Source organism: Homo sapiens, chromosome 12, assembly GCF_000001405.40.
Source record: "Homo sapiens chromosome 12, GRCh38.p14 Primary Assembly".
Lineage (NCBI taxonomy): Eukaryota > Metazoa > Chordata > Mammalia > Primates > Hominidae > Homo > Homo sapiens.
In genome coordinates this window covers 15,994,873-16,019,939 of record NC_000012.12, presented here as the reverse complement: position 1 = coordinate 16,019,939, position 25,067 = coordinate 15,994,873, and the positions used below count along the sequence as shown (strand labels likewise).

Here is a 25,067-nt window from a genome sequence, read left to right as displayed (position 1 = left end):
ACCAAAAGGGATGGTGCTAAAGCCATTCATGAAGGATCTACCTCCATGATCCAATCCCCTCCCACCAGGCCCCATCTCTAACACTGGGAATCACATTTCAACATGTGAGTTGGAAGGGACAAAAATCCAAACTATATCATATGCCCAGTAAGTATTATGATCAATAAGAATTACAAAGGATCAGAGAAATAACTTTAGCTAGAATAATACGGGAAGGCTTCATGGAACAGATGGAATGTGTTACAGACCTTCAAGGAGAGACAAAATTTAAAGATGAGAGGGCACACATGGAAGAACACCACCATAAAAAGAAACACCAAAAGCAAAGAAAGTATATGGCATACCAAATAATGAAAGAATACATCTAAGAAGTCTGTGTTGGAGGTGAGGTGGGAGGAGGGACATATACACAGATATATGAATGTATGTTTTAGAAGATGTGACTGTAAATATCCCTTAGGAAAATATTATAGAGAGCTTTGAACCCACAGACATTGGGCTCTGTTCTTTAGGTAATGTGAGGTCTGATCACATGAAATCAGTGTTTTAAGATGCTAAATTTAGTGTCTGTATTGGATGTGTTGAGAAAGGACAATTGAGAGTCAGAGACCACAAGATATTAAAAATAGTTCAGGCATGCAGACACTGGCTATTTTTTAAGTGAGGAATAAGACCTAGCTTTAATTACACAAAATATTTTAGAAAGTACATCATTACTTTACTGCTGTCAAAAGAAAAATGGATTTTCCAATGGGACTAAGTAGGACACACTTTTGTTTTACTTCTCATTTTAACATTGCTTCCTTTGCCCTTCTGCTAAAACGAAATTACTTTAGAGAAATAAATGCTACATTTTGAATTACCAACACCACACAGCACTACAGACTCTCTTCAGAGCTCACATAAATCTAACATTAGCCAAGCTTACCTCTGCTCAGCTTGGGGACAAAAATCTTATGAGAAAATATCTCAAATTACAATAGCTATCCCTATAAATGTTCTTTCATCAGTGCCCACAATTTCAACTAAATGACTAAACTAAGAGATGAAAGGGCTGAAAAAGTCAAAAGGAACACACTAAGTAGACTAATATTCAACTGTGATTAGTTGAAATTAAAATTAATAATAAATTTATAGTATTATATTAAATTGTATTTTTTATTTTCCTAATTTGAAATCTTTAGCACAATACTATTTTTGTGGTCTAAGGCAACTCAAAGCTTTTCTAAGGACTATAATTACAAGTCTCCATGGTACAGTTTCATTAAAAACTTTCATTAAACAACAGCTGCCCTTGTATATGGTCTTCTAATCAATTTGGTCAAACAGAATGACTTCTAATCAGCTGTTGATAAAAATAGAAGATGAAATTTTAATTCTAATAGATTAACCACAAACTCAAGACAGTCTTCAAAATCCATCTAGCTCTATTCTCCAGTGGATTTAATGACTATTCAGCAACTCATTACTAAATAGAACAAGATGAACATTTTCCAGTTCATTAAAGAAATGTACTATGTATTTTTGCATTGTCCTCATGATTCGTTACAGGGAGTCTTAATTACAAGATAATGGATAATTGTTATTAAATGCAGACTGCAATAATGAAGCTCTATTCATTTGCGAACCTCAGAGACTGCAAAGAGAGGAAAATAAAATTACTAGCTTCAAAAGATTAACGGATCAAATTATTATTCAATTTTGAAAATCTCATTCAGACTTCATAGAAACAAGAAGAGATTAAAAACTAGTATTAAGACCAAAGTAGTATATTTAAAAAAATAATATCTTAAGGCTACTACTGTATAATAAGCTTCGGATGTGATTATTAGAAAAACATATAGCTAACAATGGGAAAACACACATTTTTATTTCTTGAACAAATCTTATTTATGTTATAGGAAGTTACTAGTAAGATCTTAAAAAGAGTCCATGGTGAACAGGGAAGATATATGCTGCTATGCTACAAAAGAACAGCACAGTGGAAGGTATTATTAACATTTTATACTTCACTAATGAAAAGTAGGATTTCAAATCAACTGCTGCTTGAGAAAGCTTGTCATTAAGTGGAATTCATACCAACCCTATAATAAGAGCTTTTGGGTACATTATTCATTAGCATCATGTTTTCTATTGCTGAGAAATTACCGATTAAAGTTAGAAAGAGAGTTTCGTATGGTAATTCCGACACTAACTTATACTTGCAATCTGCAATGGGACACTTGGAAAAAAATTAAGCAGGGTATGCAAAGATATAAGCCCTCAAATTAAAAGTCTTCAATATTGTATTCTTTTGTTCAACATAGGTTTGGAAATCACTTAGGGCAATATAATAAAGATGCAGTGTTACGGTTGAAGCACTGGCCAGAGTACATATGGAAGCAGAAAGCCCCTCTGGAGGTATCAATGTGATACTAATACTAAATCTGGAGACTGTGATTCCACAAAGACATGCTTACATGATCCAAGGATAATTAGCTACCCATGTGAGAAAGGGGGTAAAGAGAAAGAGAGAAAGAAAAGCATAAGAAGAAAAATGAAAAATTCAAACACCTGCTCTTTCCAGTGCTTTCTTCCAATCTGAATAGTGAGCTACAGAGTAATTCTCTGTCGGTCCAGTCCATCACGTTAGCAATGCAATAGAACACGATAACTAAGCAATGATGCTTGTTTAAGCATAATGGCAGTCAGAAAGAAATCACAATTTTAGGGTTGGAAAATATCTCCAATGCCCCAAAGGAAAGATGATCTTATGATAACCACATTTCTTCCGGATGCCTTCCCCTCAATAAAAATAAAGTTGCAACCATTTAAAATAATGCAAAACAGTATGATTTAAGTGGAATACAAAGTGGGGACTCTGACTGTATAATCCTTGGTTACTGACTAGGAGAAGATTCTGCATAATTATGCAAACCCTTCAAAATACTGGTAGACGCACCTGATCGAAACAAGCACCTGATTGAAACAAAAGTCCTTGAGTATGTCCAGTAAGTCAGATGTTCCCTTTCCTTTTAAAACTTAAGGTGTTCAAAATGAACTGTAGTAATGCCAGAAATAAGTTACTAATCAAAGTACATAACTTCTATTTTTAGAGTGGGTTTAAGTTAATCTTTCTTTCTTTTTTTTTTTTTTTTTTTTTTTTTTTGAGACAGGGTCTCACTCTGTCGCCCAGGCTGGAGTGCAGTGGTGCAATCATGGCTCACTGCAGCCTTGACCTCCTGGGTTCAAGAGATCCTCTTGCCTCAGCCCTCCACGTAGCTGGGAGTACAGGTGCACAGCACCACACCAGCTAATTTTTTTGTAGAGATGGGGTTTTACCATGTTGTCTGGGCTGGTCTCGAACTCCTGAGCTCAAGTAATCTGCCCACCTCGGCCTCTCAAAGTGCTAGAATTACAGGCATGAGCCACCACACCCAACTTGTTTAATCTTTCAAACAACTGTAAGGTTTTGGGTTTTAACGCATTTGGAAAAAAGAAAGGGTTATTTAATTCAAGTGTTTACAAGACCACTTCTCTAATTTTTAATATTGTATTAGTTCTCCTGAGGGTGTTTTTAAATATCTACATAGAGAACAATTCAAATATGGGTTCTCCAAAATAATGCTGCACTTCTCCCCTTCCCCTCCCCTTTTCTGAGTATGTCTGTCAAGGAAGGAGAGTTATGTGAAGGGAGCCCTAGAAGATTTGTAATTAAAACAAAGGCTCTGATTTGGAGCAATATAATAAAGATCCAGTGTTATGGTTGAAGCACTGGCCAGAGTAAATATGGAAGCAGAAAGCCCCTTTAGAGATATCAATTTGATACTAATACTAAATCTGCAGACTATGATTCCACAAAGTCATGCTTACATGATCCAAGGATAATTAGCTACCCATGTGAGAAAGGGAGCAAAGAGATGGCTGCACAACTTTGTGAGAATACTAAAACCGCCTGAAGAGGGTTCACCATAACTTCAGTTTAAAGGGTAAACTTTATTGTACATAAATTATATCTCAATTTAAAAAAAGGAACACAGCAAGTGAGTTCATGAGGGAGAAAGGAGGAAAAAAAATTGCCTAGTAAAAGTAACTACAAGGAAAAGTATCATTAGCTGACAAATGGCAAACACATATAATCAATTTGTACCTTTACTCTTTTCCCTGAATTTATATTTTAAAGTTGTTCCTCATCTTCTCTGGACATGGTTTCCCATTAGCTGCCAAATATGACATCCATAATCCAGGCCTCCTCTCTAATCAACAAGATGTAACCCGTCATTGGTTTAAATAGATAGTTATCTATTGATGATACTTCACTCCATAGATAAGGTTGACCAAATTGTATTAGTCCGTTTTCATACCTCTATAAAGAACTGCCCAAGACTGGGTAATTTATAAAGGAAAGGGTGTTAATTGACTCACAGTTCAGCATGGCTGGGGAGGCCTCTGGAAACTTGCAATCATGACAGAAGATGAAAAGGAAGCTAGGCACCTTCTTCACAAAGGGACAAGAAGGAGATGTGCCAAGTGAAGGGGTAACGAGCCACTTATAAAACCATCAGATCTCGTGAGAACTTCCTGTCACAAGAACAGCATAGGTGAAACCACCCCCATTATTCAATTACCTCCACCTGGTCTCTTCCTTGACATGTGGGAATTATGGGGATTACAATTCAAGATGAGATTTGGGTGGGGATACAAAGCCTAACCCTATCATTCTGCCCCTGGCCCTTCCCAAGTCTCATGTCCCTCTCACATTTCAAAACCAATCATGCCTTCTCGACAGTCCCCCGAAGTTTTAATTCATTCCAGTTTTAACCCAAAAGTCCAAGTCCAAAGTCTCATCTGAGACAAGGCAAGTCCCATCCACCTATAAGCCAGTAAAACCAAAAGCAAGTTAGTTACTTCCTAGAAACAACTGGGGTACAGGCATTGTAAATACAATTGTTCTAAATGGGAGAAATTGGCCAAAATGAAGTGGCTACAGGCCCCATGCAAGTCTGAAATCCAGGAGGGCAGTCAAATCTTAAAGCTACAAAAAGATCTCCTTTGACTCCATGTCTCATATCAAGGTCACGCTGATGCAGAGGTGGGTTCCAATGGTCTTGGGCAGCTCCACCCCTGTGGCTTTGCAGGGTACAGTACCCCTCCTGGCTGCTTTCACGGGCTAGCATTGAGTGTCTGTGGCTTTTCCAAGCCCACGGTGCAAGCTGTTGGTGGATCTACCATTCTGGGGTCTGGAGGACGGTTGCCCTCTTCTCACAGCTCCACTAGGCAGTGCCCCAGTGGGGACTCTGTGTGGAGACTCCAACCCCACATTTCCCTTCCACACTGCCCTAGCAGAGGTTCTCCACGAGGGCTCCCCTCTGCAGTAAACTTCTGCCAGGACATCCAGGCGATTCCATACATCCTCTGAAACCTAGGTGGTGGTTTCCAAACCTCAATTCTTGACTTCTGTGCACCTGCAGGACCAACACCATGTGGAAGCCACCAAGGCTTGGAGCTTACACTCTCTGAAGCAATGGCCTGAGCTGTACATTGGCTTCTTTTAGCCACGGCCGGGATGCAGGGCACCAAGTCCTGAGACTATACAAAGTAGCAAGGCCCTAGGCCTGGCCCACAAAACCATGTTTTCCTTCTAGACCTCTGGCCTGTGATGGGAGAGACTGCCATGAAGATCTCTGACATGCCCTGGAGACATTTCCCCCACTGTCTTGGTGATTAACATTTGGCTCCTCGTTACTTATGCAAATTTCTGCATCTGGCTTGAATTTCTCCTCAGAAAGTGGGTTTTTTTCTATCACATCATCAGGCTGCAAATTTTCTAAACTTTTATGCTCTGCTTCCCTTTTAAACTAAGTTCCAATTCCAAATGATCTCCTTGTGAAGGCATACATCTGAATGCTTTTAAGAACACCCAGTCACCTCTTGAACACTTTTCTGCTTAGAAATTTATTCTGCCAAATACCCTAAATCACCTCTCTCAAGTTCAAAGTTCCGCAGATCTTTAGGGCAGGGGCAAAGTGCCACCAGTCTCTTTGCTAAAGCACAGCAAGAGTGACCTTTGCTCCAGTCCTCTACAAGTTCCTGATCTCCACCTGAGACCACTTCAGCCTGGACTTCATTGTCCAAATCACTATCAGCATTCTGGTCAAAACCATTCAACAAGTCTCTAGGAAGTTCCAAATTTTCCCACATCTTCCTGTCTTCTTCTGAGCCCTCCAAACTGTTCCAACCTCTTCCTGTTAACCAGTTCCAAAGTTGCTTCCGCATTTTCGGGTATCCTTATAGCAGTGTCCCACTACCTCGGTACCAATTTACTGTATTAATCCATGTTCATAATGCTATGAAGAACTGCCTGAGACTAGGTAATTTATAAAGGAAAGAAGTTTAACTGACTCACAGTTCAGCATGGCTGGGGAGGCCTCAGGAAACTTACAATCATGGCAGAAGGTGAAGGGGTAGTGAGGCACCTTCTTCACAAGGCAGCAGCAAGAAGTGCCGAGCAAAGGTAGGAGAACTCCTTATAAAACCATCAGATCTCCTAAGAACTCACTCATTATGGTAAGAACAACATGGGGGAAACTGCCCTCATGATTCAATTACCTCCACCTGGTCTCACCTTTAACATGTGGGGATTATGGGGATTACAATTCAAGATGACATTTGGGTGGGGATACAAAGCATAACCATATCACAAATGAACAGCATGTGCAGTCACACATTAAACTAAGCATTACTACTGAAGAAAAATACTTCAACACATTCATAATTATGGTTCTTTAAAATGATTTTTAAAGACTGGTATCAACACTGGAAATTTCACACTGGCCAAAGAGAGAATTCTGGTTAAAGGACCTTTTAGGACCAGCTCAATGATGCCAACTGGGAGTCACTGACTCTACTGATTTGTCTAGGGCTGCACGTCATAGTCCAATATGATAGTTACACACCATATGTAGCTACTGAGCACTTGAAATGTGGCTAGTTTAAACTGAAGTACGGGGATTTGAGGAACTAATACAAAAAAATACAATGTAATAAATCTCAATAATTTTTATATTCACTACACATTAAAATGATATATTGCAGATTTATTAAATAAAATATAATTACTGTTTCACCTGTTTCTCTTCATTTAATTAATGTGGTTATTAAAAATTTTTAAATTAAATATATCTGTTCAACAGCATTTTTACAGAGCTTCAATGAGACACCAAAACATGTAATCACTCTGTAGGTTAACAATTTGACACCATTTTACACCAATATCTTTAAAATGTTGGTTTAAAATTTATTGAGAAAAAAGGCTTAATTCTGCCTAGAGGTAGAATAGAATAAGAAGATCCCCTGTGACAGCACTTGACTATTCTCTCTTGTCTAAACAACTCGGCTCTGCTCCCAAATTTGAATATTTCACTCAGCAATGCAAAAGATCTGTAAGTAACTCAACCTGCCCTCCTTAGAAAAAAACAGAATATCTCTTTAAGGGACAGGGGAGCACAGCCCTGGAATGCCTTATGTCTAATCCCAATGACAGACAGTAGAGAAATTCTAGGAAATACAGTTTCCTCTGTCATGAGTATTTTCAGTGGTTTCAATGTCTCTTAGAGATTAGCACACTGGGAAACTGCCCAGCTGGCTGGCCCCTTAATCCTGTTCTGGAACTGGCTTTGCTTTCAGTTTTCAAATACACAGGAGTAACTCTAAAACTACACTTATAAACTCATGACTGTGTAGGACTTGTATCACATCTCTGTGCTCAACTCAACTCCTCTCTTTCCCAACCCTTCAACATCCATTTAACTAACACTTACTGAGCACCCACTCTATGCTAGTACTTTTCTATAAAGTGCATACACAGCAGTGTACAAGACAAGGCTTTTCTTTACCAAACTCTGCCCCTTTTGAGGAAACACTGACTTAGTTATGCATGTTTTATGTGTTTTTTCTTGGTTTGATTGCCTAATTTAGAAAAATTCTTTATCTGTCTCTATCACATTATCCTCTGTTTTTTAGAGAGCCAGTGGCATTGCTGAGAAGAAAAAAAATGAGACTCATGGCAATTAGGCCAGTACCCTGTAAACAAAAGAAAATGCCAGAAATATCCACAGGCATTATTATTATATAGGTATAATAGTTTGAACAAAATATTAAGGTATTTTAGACTCAGTATAAAATGAAAACATCTATCCGTAAATACAATTACCCATGCCAAATGCCTCAAAATCAAAATATTTTTCCTTCTTGGCCAGTTCCTATAGCTGACCTTATTGATGAAGGGATTTGCTATGTTAGGCAAATGCCTTTCATTGATTAGTTTTAAAGTCATCTCATGTTAAAATGACAAAATCGTATCTAACACATTCTCTTTTCTTTTACTTTTGCTGAGAGGGAAGGGGGAAATGGAACCTCAATACAAGCAAGGTACAAGTAGAGCATCCCAAATCTGAACGTCTGAAATGCTCCAAAATCGAAACTCCGTTGATACAATACTCAAAAGAAATGATCACTGGAGCATTTCACATTTCAGATTTTTGGATTTGGGATGCTCAACCAGGTTAGGGTAAGCATATGCAAATATTCCGAAATCTGAAAAAATCCAAAATCCAAAACACTTCTGGTTCCAAGCATTTAAGATAAGGGATATTCAACCTGTAAAATATGATTTGGTATCACTATGCTTTGGCAAAGATGAGTAAAATGAAGAAACATTTTAACAAAATAAGCCAGATATGCTTTAAACAACTGAATTTCCTTTTGATTGTGCTTTCTACTGTCACTAGCAAGTTTGGAATATATAGTATATATTAACATTAAAAGTCAGGTATGCTTGTGTGGAATCTATTAACTTGAGAGAAAATTACTCAAATTGAAGAAATAGCTGCTTAAAATGGATTTAGAAATACATTTTACTGAACAAAGCAAGCTAGAAAATTAGGCTACTTTATCAGGATTAGAAAGTGCTATGAATTTTAAACACAAAGCTTTTAAAAACAATGCAGAACGTATTTGAGATTATCATACCTCAATGTCATCATAAATCTTTTTTTTCAACAATTGATGATAAGTGGGTAGAGTTTCTTTTTACAGTGACCTGTCTTTCATAAAAGAAGTTGTGTTAATTTTTCTGTGGGGAGTCTTATCTCCAAGTGATTATTTCACTGTACCTGGAGACGTATGTGCTTCCCATTAGCAGATCCATAGACAGGTGAACTTTCAAACAGCCCTGAATGGAAAGCATTTACTATATGGAACCCTGGGGTTGGCCATCTAGGTGACTGCAGTCTCCACTTACTAACCACTTATAGAGACAATGCAGCCTCTCTCCTTCTGTTCATAAACAATTTTCACATTAAAATTCTGTCTCTATTTTTCAACTAGTCACGCCTTCATTTTTATCTTTATTCCTTTTCACTTGGCGACCACCGGAGACCTTGATTCCTCAACAAAAGCAGTATATGCTGGCAAAGGGGAAAGCAGCAGAACTCGGAAAACCTCATCTATGGGTAAAGGTACAAGCAGAAAAGGTCACCATCAAATTTTGCCAGATCATGTTTTATATCACTGGGATATCAGAATCATTCACAAATTCCTGAAGACACATGAGGCAAGGAGAAAGCAAGGAGAAGGTTGTGAAGGGGGCAGGAAGAATGGTCCTGACCTAGACTCTGCAGAAGTCATGCATTAATACTAAGCATGCACGCAACCTGGATCCACTCTGCATATGAACTAGAACTCATCTAGGATCTCCCTGGATGCCACACACTTGTTTTCAAGGCACTGCCTTGCCCACGAATATATATGCTCACATGCTATATTTCCCTCACAGCAGAAGGGCTTGGCTTCCTTTACTAAAACTCTTAAATGGAAATAACACACAACCATACAGTAATCATGTATATTTCAGATGAATAGGTTATACTGCACACTTAATACAGAGGTTTTATCTGTCTCTCACAGAACTTCCTATTACAAAACTAATAGGTCTGATTTAAAGGCCATTTGTTTTTAGATTTCTGCTCAGCAGAAAACAATATAAATAGTTTCTTAACATGTATACTGCCAAAGTTAGGGTTTTTACCTACTTTCTTTTAAACCTGCATTTTAAATTTTTGATACATATTTAATATCTTTAATACTTCCTGTATAATTGCTTTGAGTGTGGCATTTATTTCCTCCCCTTAGAGTACATGTTAGAGTCTTCTACATTGTAGATATAATTTCTCCCATGTATTTCAGGAAGGTTATTAAATGTCAAAATCCAAAATGAATACATGGATAACTTAAAAATATAAAACCTTAGTGAGAAAAAAATTCAGCTGTTAAATTTATTACCAAAATGGAAAATGAGATTCACAATGATAACCTACAAAGTAAAAAGGCATTTGGGAAACTGGGTTAGAGACAGTGAACAGTGTCAACATATGCTGGAGATCTGTTTATTTGGTTGTTTGTCACAAATATCATAAATTTACTCTTGAGAAGAGGTTTTCTGGGTTGACTTGGCCCAATTTTTTGTATTTAATACATGGAAACTAAAGATGATGAAAAATTTAAAGTATAAAGATCTAAAAAGTATTGTATATAGGATGAACAGTTAAGACTGGTTTGATGGTGACATTTTCATCACAAAACCTGCTAAAAGAATAAAACCCTAGGATTTCCACTCTCCAGGGGCTGAATTTAATCCAATATTCCATTGTTCTCTTCTGCTACTCACCCAAAAGCATCTTAGATTCTAGTTCATTCTGATTGACAACCATACAACAGTAAGAGAAGGAGGAGGAACAGAATAAGTCTCCCTTTCTGAAAATTACTAAGTGCTTGGCTTCACCTTAAAACTTCCCTAATTTGATCTTCACAATACCTTAAAAAGCAGATACTCCTGTTACCAATTAAGAAAAGAAGACTTTATAGAGACTAAGGAACACATTAAGACAACAGCTTGTAAGTGTCATGAATCCATGTTTTTCTAACTCAAAGTCCAGGCTTTTAACTGCTATGCACTTCTGCCTCTACATCAGACCAGCTATTGTTTTGCAGTTTCTACCTTATCAAGTTTGTAGTTCTCTACGTCCTTTCTTTCCCAGTCAAAATCCTACCTAGCCCTGTTAAACTATTTCCTTCAATACGAAATGGCACCTTCATTGCTTTTCTTCCTATTCTGAATATAAACATGACTGGAGCTGTGGCAGCCATCTTGTAACCACGAGAGAAATGCCAAGAGCGGCCCCAATCCTGACACTAATGATGAGCCAACAGCGGTGACTGGCTACACCTCAGAGTTCCTTCTTACACAAGAAAAAACAATTTAAGCCACCGTTATCATGTTCCGTGCTATCTGTGGCCACACTCAATCCTAGCACAGACCCTGGACTGTTTACTTTCACTCTGCTGACCTGGACATCCAAATATATCCTACATTAGTTTACTGGGGGGATCACTCAGACTCTGCAACCAGGGACACGAGTTATCCTTCCCTCACACACTCTGCTCTGTGCAGCTGACACCCCTAAGACACCACCAGCTATGCCTATGCAGGTAATTCCCCACCCCATCTACACTGGCAAATCAGACAGGAGTCAGAGTCCAACTGAATAAAATGTGGAAGGAAAGGACCAAGGCAGGAGAGATTTGAGAAAGCTATTAGGAAATATTAGGAAAAGCTAAAAGTGAGAAGCCACGGAGTAGTAGGATTCCTGTTTGAGAAACAACCATCTGAGGCATTAGCGAATGAAGCATCTGTACACCAATGTGTCTGCACGTTGCTGAAGAAACAGAGAAAAAGAAACTGTGTTATCTGGCCTGTTGCAGTGGCTCACTCCTGTAATCCCAGCACTTTGGGAGGCCAAGGCAGGCAGATCACCTGAGGCCACGAGTTCAAGACCAGCCAGGCCAACAGGGCAAAACTCTGTCTCTACTAAAAATACAAAAATTAGCCGGGCACACAGTGGCACACACCTGTAATCTCAGCTACTAGGGAGGCTGAGGCATGAGAATCGCTTGAACACAGCAGGCTGAGGTTGCAGTGAGCCAAGACTATGCCACTGCACTCCAGCCTGGGTGACAGAATGAGACTCTGTCACAAAACAAAACAAAACAAAACAAAACACAAAACAAAAAACTGCATTATCAATATACAGAAAATATAAGGAGCTTCAGCAATAGTAGAAAATGAAGGAAGAGACTAAGGTACAAGTCTTAAAAAGCTAACTGAAGAAGACACTGGGCCTGAATCAACGAGAAATTTTTCTATGTGCCTGCCCTTCATGGGGAGACAACCCCCATCCTAATGAACTACATACTCTTTGAGAGCCATGCCTGCCTCACTAACCATCATTATATTGACCATACAGCTAGCACAATCTACTATCCACTTTCTACTAAGTGGATACTAGAAACTTAATAAATACTTACAAAATCTAAATGAATTCTGTATTAGACCAGCTTTAATGAAGAATAATGTCTATTGGCGGGGCACAGTGGCTCACGCCTGCAATCCCAACACTTTGGGAGGCTGAGGCAGGTGGACTGCTAGGAGCCAGGAGTTCAAGACCAGCCTGGCCAACATGGTGAAACACCATTTCAACTAAAAATACAAAAGCTAGCCGGGCATGGTGATGCATGCTTTTAATCCCAGCTACTCAGGAGGCTGAGGCACAAGAATCACTTGAACCCCGGAGGCGGAGGTTGCAGTGAGCCAAGATCGCGCCACTGCGCTTCAGCCTGCGCAACAGGGTGAGACCTTGTCTCAAAAAAAAAAAACAAAAAAAAAAAAACAAAAAAACCCCAAAAAGAGTAAAAAATGTCTATAATGAACATAACTAAGTTTTACAATGACTCTATGGCTGCAATTGCCTATTTGTATAAACAAATGGGTTTTTATTTAAAGATTTTCTCTAATACACTTATCTAGCACTTACTATCGGCGAGGTACTGTTCTAAGAGCTTGATACATAACGTGACAAATATTTAAAAACTAAAGCAGTTACATGACACTTCAGGCTCCCACTGAGGCCATCTGGCTGAGAAGGCTGTGGAAGTACACACGGAGAAGACATATTTTCAAGCCTAAAGTAACCAAAGAAGGAATTTCCAGAATTTCTTGATAGCAATACAGGCTTACATTTCCTAGCTCTTAGGAACTTTCCTTAACTATTGTGTCCCATCAGAAATATCTGTGAATGACTACCATGTTCTAGGCTATGTGCTCAGCACTGATAAATAAGTCTCTGTCTCTGAGTGGACACTCATACTCCATTCTGAGAGATAGGCAGACACATATGCTGAGAGACATGTCCAAAATGCTGGAGAAGAGAGGGATAGCTAGGAGGTGGGATCAGGAGCGGTGACAGGTTAGGAATTCATGTCGGGTACGACGTGTGGAAATGAATGAGGTTTCTGTCTCCAGATGGCAGGGCTGGAGGGGCCAAGTGTGGAGAGAGGGTAGTTGAGTTTCAGCACACTATAAATGAGGGCCGCTCACTAACTAATAGGTAACGTTTGGGCTTTGTTTTCTTGATTTTCGTCCCAGACAGTCATTTAACTGCATAAATTTGTATTACATTTTTCTGCTATTTTTTTCCAGCTATTTCTTTAGTCAGAGCATTAATACAAAAAAATCTCACTGGCAACGCAATTTTCAGCCTAAAGAAAAACTTCCTCTTTTCTTGGTTTCTGGTTTTGGGTTTCTGATTTGGGTTGGACAAATGTCCTGACTTCTTTTCATTGGGAGCAAGAGGGGAGAGGGTAAGGAAGGGATTGTCACCTACAGTCTCAGCTCAATGGATTTTGTTTTTATTGAATATTTTCACAAAGTCCACATCTAGTTCTCATCATCTATTAGCTGGTTTTCCACAAGTAAGGCCACACATTTGCTGAACGTGTTACATCCTTTAAATAGACTTAACTTTTAATAGGCTTAAATGAAAGTGTAAGGACCGAACAGCAGAATTTCAGACAATGGCCACAGGAATGGGGAGGGGGTGATGTTTAAAGAGATTGTAAGGAAGGTTTTCTAAAATTGACCACTTATACCTGCATGCTTATGCTCTTACAGTTATGTGTTCATAGTAATCTTGTCTGCTTAAAAATTTATATTCCCACAGAGCATAATCTTCTATGTCTACAGGACTTAACCTAATAACTATTCACTTGCTCTATTCTTTGGTTCAATATTAAAAATGATACACGAGAAGAACTTAGCCATACTTAAAATAAGTTTGGTATGATGAATTTATCCAAAAATATAGAAGTTTTTTCTTTTTGTAAACTTGCAGGGTCTTTTCTAAATGCCTGTGCACTGTGAATGGCTTGCAGGGGTATATTCATGCAGCATTCCCCAAACTTGCATGACCATGAGATGTTTTTGTCAAAGAAGTTTTGATTGAGATATTGTCTAACAGAACACAACTCAGAAATCAGTTTTAGCAGAAAATAGTTCCAAACATAAAAGCTTTCTTCATTCACTCGGTTGAAGCGAGCTGGTCTTCAGAATAAGCTTTTTAATTTTTTTTCTCTCTGTTACCCAGGCTAGAGACCAGTGGTGCAATCATAGCTCACTGCAGCCTCGAACTCCTGTCCTGGACTCAAGTAATCCTCCCATCTCAGTCTCCTAAGTAGCTAGGACTGTAGGTGCGCCTTACCGTGCCCTGCTAATTTTTAAATATTTTTTGTAGAGACAGGGTCTTCCTACATTGCCCAGGCTGGTCTCAAACTCCTGGCCTCAAGCGATCCTCCCACCTCAGCCTCCCCAAAGCACTGGGATTGCAGGCATGAGCCACTGTGCTTGGCCCCTTTTCAACTCTGACGGTAACTCTTCTAGTATTCCAAATCATTCCAGGGCACGTCTGTTGAGTTCATTATGGTGACTAGTTCTGAAGTAGACTGCGTGAAATGAAAGAGAAGTTAATCTTTTAAACTTTTAAACTGCCTTTTAGTAAAATTTAATTTGAACTCTACAGGGCATAAAACCAAATCCTCAGTTGCTCTGTTTCTTCTTTATCTAGTTATTCACAGACTCTAACTCTTAAAATAGGTTCATAAATCCCATTAAATTATCAAAAGTTTTCTAACTCCTTGAACTAGGAAACACACATATGCAGACGATCTTTATAAATCAATGGTTCCTAACCTTGATTTTGGAAACTCCCAAGGTATCTCCTAGTTTTTAGTAGGATTTTTTTAAATTTTTAAAAACATTTAATAAACATAATCCACCTTGGTTTTTGAAAAAAGAATGTAACAAAGAACCAAAGCCCCACTAAGTCATTTGTTGTCATTGTTGTCATCGTACAAAGGATACATGCATAAACACCCACTTGTTTCTTGAGAGCATACAATTTAATAAGTTAATATGACTACTATTAAACATTTAGAAAGGTGGTTAGTCCTTTTCTTTCTTCCTCTGTCAGAAAGTACTGGGATGCCTCTTTTCCTTACTAGCTTTAATTTTTTTCAATGTACTAAGAAAAATTAAGAATTGTGACATTTAAAAAGTCATTTTTTATTAAGGATTCCAGAAAACATGAGGCTTCTAGATTTATAAATCAAAGATTGGTGGGAGAACAAATTGTTAAGGAGGAGTTGGGTTTTTCTTTTCTTTTCTGCAGTGGTTCCTTTTGCTTTATGTAGGGTCTGGGGGAATTATATGTGCTTTTGATTTTTTCTCTGCATCTATTTATATTTTGAATACTTGGCTGTACATTCAGATTCAAATTATCTGCATATATGAAATTGCTATTTGACTACAAAGATAAACCAATTATATTTTCTACCTCTAATTATTAAATTGAGCAGTTTAGTAATGCCATTCTCCAACCTAGAAATAGATTGCATTCCAAAAGTTTGTAAATTCACAGCCGGCTGGAAATCAGAATGTACTTTTCCAGATTTCATGTGGTAGTAAGTCCCAGCCAGCCCAGAAAAGCATGTTTTACTCTTACTGCACTTAATGAATAGCCCTACCAACCCCTTCTAAGCATTCTGCACAATGATGTTTTAGGAAACAGAGGAAGGCCCGGATGCCTCTGAGTGGCTAGCTCTACAACCCAGAACACCTCTCTCCTCTTCCAGGTTGGGATGAACTTCCTCAGAGCTTTAAATTACTAATGGAGTTTAAATTTGGATAAGGAATCTCAAGATGGTGATACAAAGAGGGTTTTGCGGGGAAGGGGCAGTGAGGAGTTATGGAAGCTGGGAGCTTCTCAGGCACAACTAAGGAGGAATACTTCTCACTCATGAGCCAGAAATTGACACTCTTGTTTCCTGGCGCTCCCCCAACAAATGCAAACTCACCTGTTTTTCTTACATCAACCCTGCAGTCTACTTCCCTCTCCACTGCCCCCAGCAGTTGTTTTTAGTTGGCATCTAGCCTACAGTAGTAGGCTTCTCTAACCCAAACCCTAACCCCTCACAGTTTCTCTCTTACCTAAAACGAACACTCAGCCCTTAGGCACACAAGCAAAATGAGCCAAAAAGATTCTCTCTGAACTCCAGTTTTGCTTTCCTCATTTTGAACTCATTTGTTGTGGATTGAACTGGAGCCCCCCAAAATTCATAGGTGGAAGTCCTAACCCCTAGCATGTAAGAATGTGACCTTATTTGGAACCTGGGTGCTTGCAGATATAATTAGTCAATATGAGGTCGCAATGGAGTACGGTAGGCTCCTACTGCAATATGATTAGTGTCCTTATAAAAAGAACACCAGGTGAAGAGACAGACATACAACATGAAGAACACCATATCATCACAAAGGCAGAGACCAGGGTGAGGCTTCTACAAGCCAAGAAACACCAAAGATAGGCAACAATCCCCTGCAAGTAAGGGGAGAGCCACAAAACAGATTCTTTCTCATAGCCCTCAGAAGGAACTAACCCTGCTCACACCTTATCTCAGACTTCTAACCCTCAGAACTCTCAGATAAATTTCTGTTGTGTAAGGCACCCAGTTTGTGGTGATAAGGGGTTAGGAGCATAAGGAGTGGGTCTCAAATATTTCAAAGACTACAGTTAGGTCATTTATATTTCAGAATGAATCCAAAATCAACTCTCCAGGGTATTTCAGCACAAAGCTGGGGCAGGGGAGGAGATTTTAAAAATGACATGACATGAGGAAGGAGGACATAGCCAAGAAACTGGCACTGGGTCTAAGAGATCAACATTTTTAGGGGAAGAGAAGAGAACAGCACTACTGCCCTGTCTAAGACAAAGTGGAGGTTCAGGAGAGGTAAAGAGTCCTAGGTGGCAACTAGCTAAGGAAATAAGAGAAGAGGATGTACAGCATGGGACTCTAATTAGTAATGTTGTATTATACACTTAGAATTTGCTGAGAGGATTTGTGTGGTTCTTACCACACATACACAAAAAAATGGTAACCACATGAGGAGATGAGTACGTGACTATAAAATTATTTCACAATGTCTATCAAAATGTCACATTGTATGTTACAAATATATACAATTTTAATAAATAAAAATTTAAATTTAAAAAAAGAAAGGAGAGAAAAAGGAAAAATCCTGTAGGGCAGCTGTGAGGAGCGAGGGTATTCTTAATTTCTCTGCCACAGTTCTTGCTAGTTCCTGGTCACACATAAGAGCCACATTTAACTAAAGGTTATATACGTTGGCTCCTATGTGGTATTTCTTTCTATGTTTGTAATTTCTCTAGCAAACAATTTAGAGTTTAGAATAACCTTAACTTTAGCGTTAAGAATAACCTTGCTGTTCACATGTTCTCACTCATAGGTGGGAATTGAACAATGAGAACACATGGACATAGGAAGGGGAACATCACACACCAGGGCTGTTGTGGGGAAGGGGGAGGGGGGAGGGATAGCATTAGAAGATATACCTAATGTTAAATGACGAGTTAATGGGTGCAGCACACCAACATGGCACATGTATACATATGTAACTAACCTGCACATTGTGCACATGTACCCTAAAACTTAAAGCATAATAATAATAAAAAAAAAGAATAACCTTGCTGTTACAAAGTGCCTGGTAATCATTATCCTAACTTTACTTGATTAGGCAAAGAAAGCAGTATTTTGTCTGAAAAGTCCATACCGGGGTTTGTTTCCTCTCTAAGCTCCCAAAGCACCTGAATTCTCAACAAAGTCTCCAGCAAAATGCTGCTTCGTCTAGTGTGCCTGCCACTTCTGACTCAGGGAAGCAGGAGACAGAGCATTCGGTCTTAGTGTTCTCCTAACTCATGACCTCGCCCTCCTGGGAAAATTTCTCCTCTGATACCATTTATTCTTGTCCTTCCTCAGTTGTAATTTTATTCCAACTACTCTACTAAGCCTGTTACTACTATCTAAAGGATATAAACTCAGGCAGATCCTCCAGAAATTGGTGGTGTCTAGTCACCCCAGAAACTGACCACCTTGCAGAGCATCAAACACGTCACACAGACCTAAGACCATGACTCCACAAGTCTGTATTACTCTCTCTTTGTTACTGAGCACGAATCTCTTTCTGGTCTCTGTGTGAGTTGTTCTTTTCTCTGAGTCAATTGTCTCGAATAAAACACTGAACTTTTCCACTCTAGCCCTGAAGGAACAACCAAAGAAAACAGCCAGTGGAAAGGGGTGGGTTTAGCTGAAAAGTATATTCAATTATAAAGAAGTACCTGATCACCTCATGGGAGCCTGAATGGTTTTTTTTATTTCTTCTAAAAACAAACAAACAAACAAAAAAATAGGATAAACATGTGCAGAATGTGCAGGTTTGTTACATAGGTGTACGTGTGCCGTGGTGGTTTGCTGCACCTACTGACCCATCCTCTAATGGGAGCCCGAATTTTAGCAGGAAGAAATAGAGTATCAGCTCTGCCTGGGTATGCGTTTATGGACAGAAAATGAAAATGATAGATGTACTTCAAAAATAACTCCAGCAGAAAAATGTATTTAATAACCACTCAATTTAGAAAATACTGACAATAATGAAAATGTCTCAGAGCACTTTTAAGGATTTTTATTTTATATTTTTGAATGGCATTGTAATACTGAATACTGTAAAACAAGAATGCAGAAAAAGGCAGAACAAAACCTGCTTTTTAATTGTCTAAGTTATCTACTCTACAATCCTAGTAAAAAAAAACTCAACATCTGATGGATGCAACTATAGGTATCATTACAGACTCTGAGGTAACATATATGCTTTTTCTTTTTATTAAAAAATAAACAGGAATATTTTAATTATTCACTAGAATGTTAATATCAAGCCAGTGTGATAGCAGCTAACGTTCTACAAACAGCCTTTGCTGGCTTTGTGTGACATGGATGATCTAAATTCTTTCCAATTTCATTGACTATTCAGTTCCTCCTCCGTTGTCCCTGGCCAATTTAGCAGCCGCGTAACATAGGAAACTTACTTTCAATGCCCCAGTTGGTGATAAATTTTTTACAAAAAGCATACTATAACACTCATTCTTGGGTCACTGGTAAAGCAAAGCATCATCCTGATAATTCAAGTAAAAGCATGAATTTCCTTTTCCTCCTGAATCACTAAAACAAATGTATTAGTTCTGCATTTTGATTTACATGTGTTATCTTGCTAATGTTTTCTAAACCAAAAAATAGCCTTTCTTTCACCTTCATAGCCTTCATCAGATTTCCTTAAAAACGTTACTATGTTTTTCCTTGTTGCAAGAACAGAAAAGTAGAGGAAAAGCGGTTAGACTGCGCTATGTTCTGCAATAAACCAATAATAGAATGAACGGGTGCAGGTCTTATAAATGGAAACAGAGGCGCTGGTTCCTGGGCTGGGAAAAAGACTTCGTCCTCTTAAATTCCCTATCCTGACAAATGGCACCATTAGGAGTTGGATCTGCCCTTCCCTTCCCTGCTCAGCATGCAATCACTCACCAAGCACAATCAAATTTGCCCCCCGATATGTCCCACAGGCATCTACTCTGCTCCATACCCACTGCATTGCCTGCATTGCATCTCAGTTCAGGAGCTCGTGATGGTCAGCTGAAGTGTTATCACAGCTTCCTAATGGCCTTCCTGTCTCCAGCCTAAACACATTGCCCAAAGGTTATGTCCCTAAAATGAAAATCTGATCACTGCTCTGCTTCTACAAAGCATCTGGATTGAGGGTGTCATAATAATCTTTGTCATCCAGTGTCTGACATACAGCAAACTTCCAATAAATCCTAACGACTGAATAAATGAATGAATGAATGAGTTACTCAGTCAATCATTCATTCCTCAGGCTAAAAATTTCCTGTACCCCCAAACACGAAACTTCAATTCCTTAGCATGGCCTTAAACTCCAAGCTATTTACTAGCTTCATCCCCACCTCTTCTGCCACTTTCCATTTACTCTCCAGCCCAACCAGACCAGCTTTCTCACCATGACATGTTCTTTCACATCTCTCTATGAGAGCCAGTGACTCTCAGCCCAAAATGCCTTTCTCTGTATCTGCACCTAACAACTTCTATACAAATGCCACTTGCTTTGTGAATTCTTCTATGACTCCTCCAGAGAAGGTCAGCTGTGTTCCTGAAGTGCTTGGAAAACGTGTCCCCACATCACCTGCTTTCCCAAAATGACAAATCATAAACCCTATTTTTCACTTCTTCACCACACTAAGAGATAATGTCACTTTTTTAAGGCCAGGAACTATGTCATGCTTACTTTACTCTCTCCATTCTCTCTTCTAATCCTCCTCCAATGCCTAGAATAGTGTCTGATAAACATTATGCCTTCATCAAATATTTGGATGAACCCATTCGAGGGAAAGAAATATCCCCAGGTACTGATGGCAGAGAACCCTGGCCCTTCTGTTCTTGATTGGCCTCCTCCTCGCTCCCACAGTGCCTCAGTCTTCCCTCCAGCCCTCACCAACCCTCCATCCCTCATTTCCTCCCATTCCCCGACACAGTTTGGAATTGGGGAACTCCCTATTCAAATCCTAAATCTAATATGTTGAAGATGAAAGGAGGTGAAATCTTGATAGTGCTATCAGAACAGTAGAAGAATTACAAATGTCCTGAGAGACCTAAATTTAAAATATAAATTCTTGCTCTTAGAAAAACACTGTATATGCGTTGGTTAGGACCTATAGTGCAACTGACACAGGCTACATTTCAGTTATTCTGTAAGCTAATCTCGGGGCTGGCCTAGACACCAAACAACAATGTACAATCTTGTTTCTTTGGGGATGTAAGTTCAGCGGTCCAAATAAGCACATTGCAATGAAAATAACTACTAGAACAATTGGTTTGTTAACTGTGGACTGCCTATGCTAAAGGTGCTTCCTACCTCAGAATCTGAAGCTCTTTAAGCCATCTCTGAACTACAAATGTGAGTTGAAAGACTTCCTGTGTTAGGCCAGGCGTGGTGGCTCACACCTGTAATTCCAGCACATTGGGAGGCTGAGGCAGGCGGATCACCTGAGGTCAGGAGTTCGAGACCAGCCTGGCCAATATGAAGAAACCCCATCTCTACTAAAAATAGAAAATTAGCCGGGCATGGTGGTGGATGCCTGTAATCTCAGCTACTCGGGAGGCTGAGGCGGGAGAACTGCTTGAACCCGGAAGGCGGAGGTTGCCGTGAGCCAAGATCCGGCCATTGCACTCTAGCCTGGGCGACACAGCTAGACTCCGTCTCTAAATAAATAAATAAATAAATAAAGGAAAGACTTCCTGTGTTAACATTAGGAAAGCTAGATCCTAGATCAGAGGTTCTCATTCCTGCCCACACAGCAGAAGCAACTGGAGAAGTTTTAAAATGCATGTTTCTCAAAGTATGAATTTCCTTGGCTCCGTTCATGACCCCTGAAATCACAATCTCTGGTAGGAAGATCATTGCAACAGTTCATTAAAGAAGCTTGCCAGGAAACTCTAATGTGCAGCCCAGGTTGAGAACCTTGTTCTAGACTCTGTGTTTTGACTTTAGTTATTTGTCCTCGGGCAAATTTCTTATGAATTTGACCTTTCTGGATCTTGGTTTTCTCACCTTTAAAATGAGAGGTTTGAGGTTAATGGAGCTTCTTTACACTTTATAATCTTTATAGTTTTCTAAGCATTTACAATTTCTCTGAGTTCACTTTCGAATGTTTATTTGCTCTGTTTCTCTTGGCTTATATCTGACAATGTACAAATAATGGGGAAAAGGCAATGAATTTGTAAACACCTTTTAGTGATTTTTGACAAAAGGGGTGACAGGCAAAAGTTCAATTTGAAAAGTATGTTCTCTACATAATTTACTAGCTGCTGGGCAGACTAAACGTTACATATACAATCAATGGATTTTATGGATTTTTTTAGAGCCACGTTAAAATTTAAAAAGAGAAAAAAGTTCCATGCTATATTTCCCTGTCTTTAGATATGTAGTTTCCTCATTCTAACAATGACTCTTTTGCATACGATTCCGTTAAAGTCATGACTGCAGAATAAGCTGATGATTTCAAGAACGCCCCCTAACTCAAGTATTTTTACCGAACACCTTGCTGAGCAATGTAACACGCAGGGCCCTTCATTTCTTTATTCTAGTGATGGCAATGTAACCTTTGTCTTGCTTCAACCAATTTTTCCCTGTTAACATATCTTTCCAAATTAAAAAAAAAATCATTTTTTTCATTCATTTGGCTTATAAAGTAATCCTAGAAGCCTGCAAATATTTTTTTTAAACAGCAAATAAAGAAATATTCACCCATGCGGAGGAAAAGAGAACACAAGAGAATTGCCTGCTCCATTTTATAATATTATGGTACATTGTGTAGTCTTGTGTCAGTATTTATTATCAGTCATTTAGTTTATGATAGAGAATAACTTTTGATTACTGATGCTTGTAGTATTACTCACTCTGTCTTGGACTGTTTGAAGATCTGTATTTTTATTACAAAGTCCAATAAAAATAAAGTGAAAAACCCATAGGTCCCAAAACTGATTCCTGGCTTGTGCTATATGTCACTCCTTTCCAATCTAAAAAGTATTTCCTTCTACTGTTAGTATCTGTCTCTTGCTCATAAGCAAATTTATCTCCTAATGCCTCATTCTTTATTTTAGTCATTAATCTCCCATTGAGAACCTTACCAAATGCTTTTTGCAGATAAAAATATTTAATATCTACTAGATTTCCCCTATCCACAAAACCATTCAACATTGCTGAGAGGGAAAAATCAATCTTTTGTACCTGAATTCAAGTTTGCTGGGTTTGAGTCAAAATATTTTTCTCTAACTTCTTCAGGTCTTCTTGACAGAAAATAATAAGACCATAAAGCAAGAATCCTATTTCTCTTTGCTTTGAATTGTTTCCCCCAAAAAAGAGATGTCAAAATCTCACCCCTCAATACCTCAGGAAGAGACCTTATTTGGAAAGAGGGCCACTGAAGATGTCATTAGTTAAGATAAGGTCATACTGAGTAAGGTGGGCCATTACATTACTGGTTTCCTTATAAGAAGAGGAGAAGAGACACAGACAGAGACACACAGAGGGAAGACAGCCATCTAGTGACAGAGGCAGAGACTGGAGTGAAGCCAAGGTATGTCAAGCATTGCTGGCAAACACCAGAAGCCAGAATAAGCAAGAAGGGCTTGCCTACAGGTTTCAGAGGGAGCATAAGCCTGCTGACACCCTGACTGCGGGCTTCTGGCCTCCAGAACCTTAAGAACACATTTCTGTTGCTTAAGGCCATCTAATTTGCGGTACTCTGTTACAGCGAGCCCAAGAAACTAATACACTCCTCTTTTCCCATGTTTTCTATATTTTGGGGCCCTGTGTATACTGGATTGTAATCTACTCTTAAATTACACACACACACACACACACACACACACACACACATGCTCTGTGTGTGTGTCTGTGTCTGCATATGAAATAATTTTCTCTTCTGCATAGAATCACATTAACTCTGAAAGAGAAGGCATCTCTAATGTTTGCTGAGTCTGTCTTAGTGTAGCTCCATCAGGCTCACTCAGCCTGTGCCTCGAACGTCTCCTACCTCCTGATGTGGCGCACCCAATTTCCAGGTGATTCAGACACTGACGAAATTCTTCCTATAATAACTAGCTCAAAAGCCATCTTCCCACAATGTCTAAAAGTTGGTCCTAGTCCTACTACTTTGAGTTAAGAGAGAAAAATCTTCCTTTATCAGGAAAATCTTCCAAGTATTTGAACATAATATTACAACCCCAAGGATTTTCCTCCTCCTAATTAGATGTCCACTTTCTTTCCAACCACTCTTCATGAGAAGGGTTCAATTTATCTCATCCTGTGCTGTGACTTCCCTCTAAATATTCTGATACCACTTCCATTCTCCCATACCCCTCCATCCTCCCTACTCTATTCCTTCATTTTCAGACTGCCTTCAGCTTTAACATCTCTCCTACTCCTCCATCAGGTGGAAAACAGAAAGATCTGCTTTTCTTGTCACTCCCTAGCTGTTCTCTGGGCACCCTAGGTAAGAGAGTCTGGAAGAAAAGTACAGAACTCAAGTGGCAGTTGTATCACAACCCTGGTTAATTTTCTAAGTGCATCACTACAGGGACATCAACAGAGTAGCTAAACACAAATAACAGTGGAAGCAGCCTGAGAAGAGATCTTTTAGCTCTGGGCACCCTACCTTTTCTTTTCAACAAGGAGTTACTGTGGGCCAATCATAGGCAGGTGGCCCCGGGCTTGCTGTCATTTTTCTCTTTTATATTGATTTCATGTTCACCAACTCCTATAAATTTCTGCAAACACCTTGCCTCTCTATAGAAACACCTTGCCATTATGTCTTCCTTTTCTTGCCCTCAACAGAAAAGTAAAGTGCAACATACAATCTCATTCAGGGCCTCTAGAAACATCTGTGCCTCCAAAAGTTAAACACAGCTTATAAATATTATCTGATATACAGATCAATTGCAGGATAGAGAGCAGGGTTGTGCATTAATAAAAGCATGGAGTTTAGAGTCAAAAGTCCTTCAGAAAATTCTGCCACTTACTCAGTGTGTGGCCTTGGTCTATTCACTTAACTTCTGAGCTTCAGGTTTTCATCTACTAAAAGATGATAATAAGATACCTCTCCTCCCTCCCTCCCTCTTGGGATTACTGCAGAAAGAATTTATAAACTACCAACTTCACATGA

The 25,067-nt window shown here is 39.0% G+C and overlaps 1 protein-coding gene across 3 annotated transcripts in view, besides 1 other annotated feature; it reads right to left on the bottom strand.

The window, feature by feature from the left end:
- Positions 1-25,067, bottom strand: part of DERA (deoxyribose-phosphate aldolase) — a 126,050-nt gene that overhangs the window by 17,442 nt on the left and 83,541 nt on the right. The gene's annotated exons all lie outside the window — the stretch shown is intronic.
- Positions 1,050-2,284: an enhancer, noted in NCBI's record as "VISTA enhancer hs798". NCBI's record gives its function as "enhancer in: neural tube[8/9] | forebrain[9/9]" and the evidence as "EXISTENCE:transgenic organism evidence [ECO:0001131][PMID:17130149]".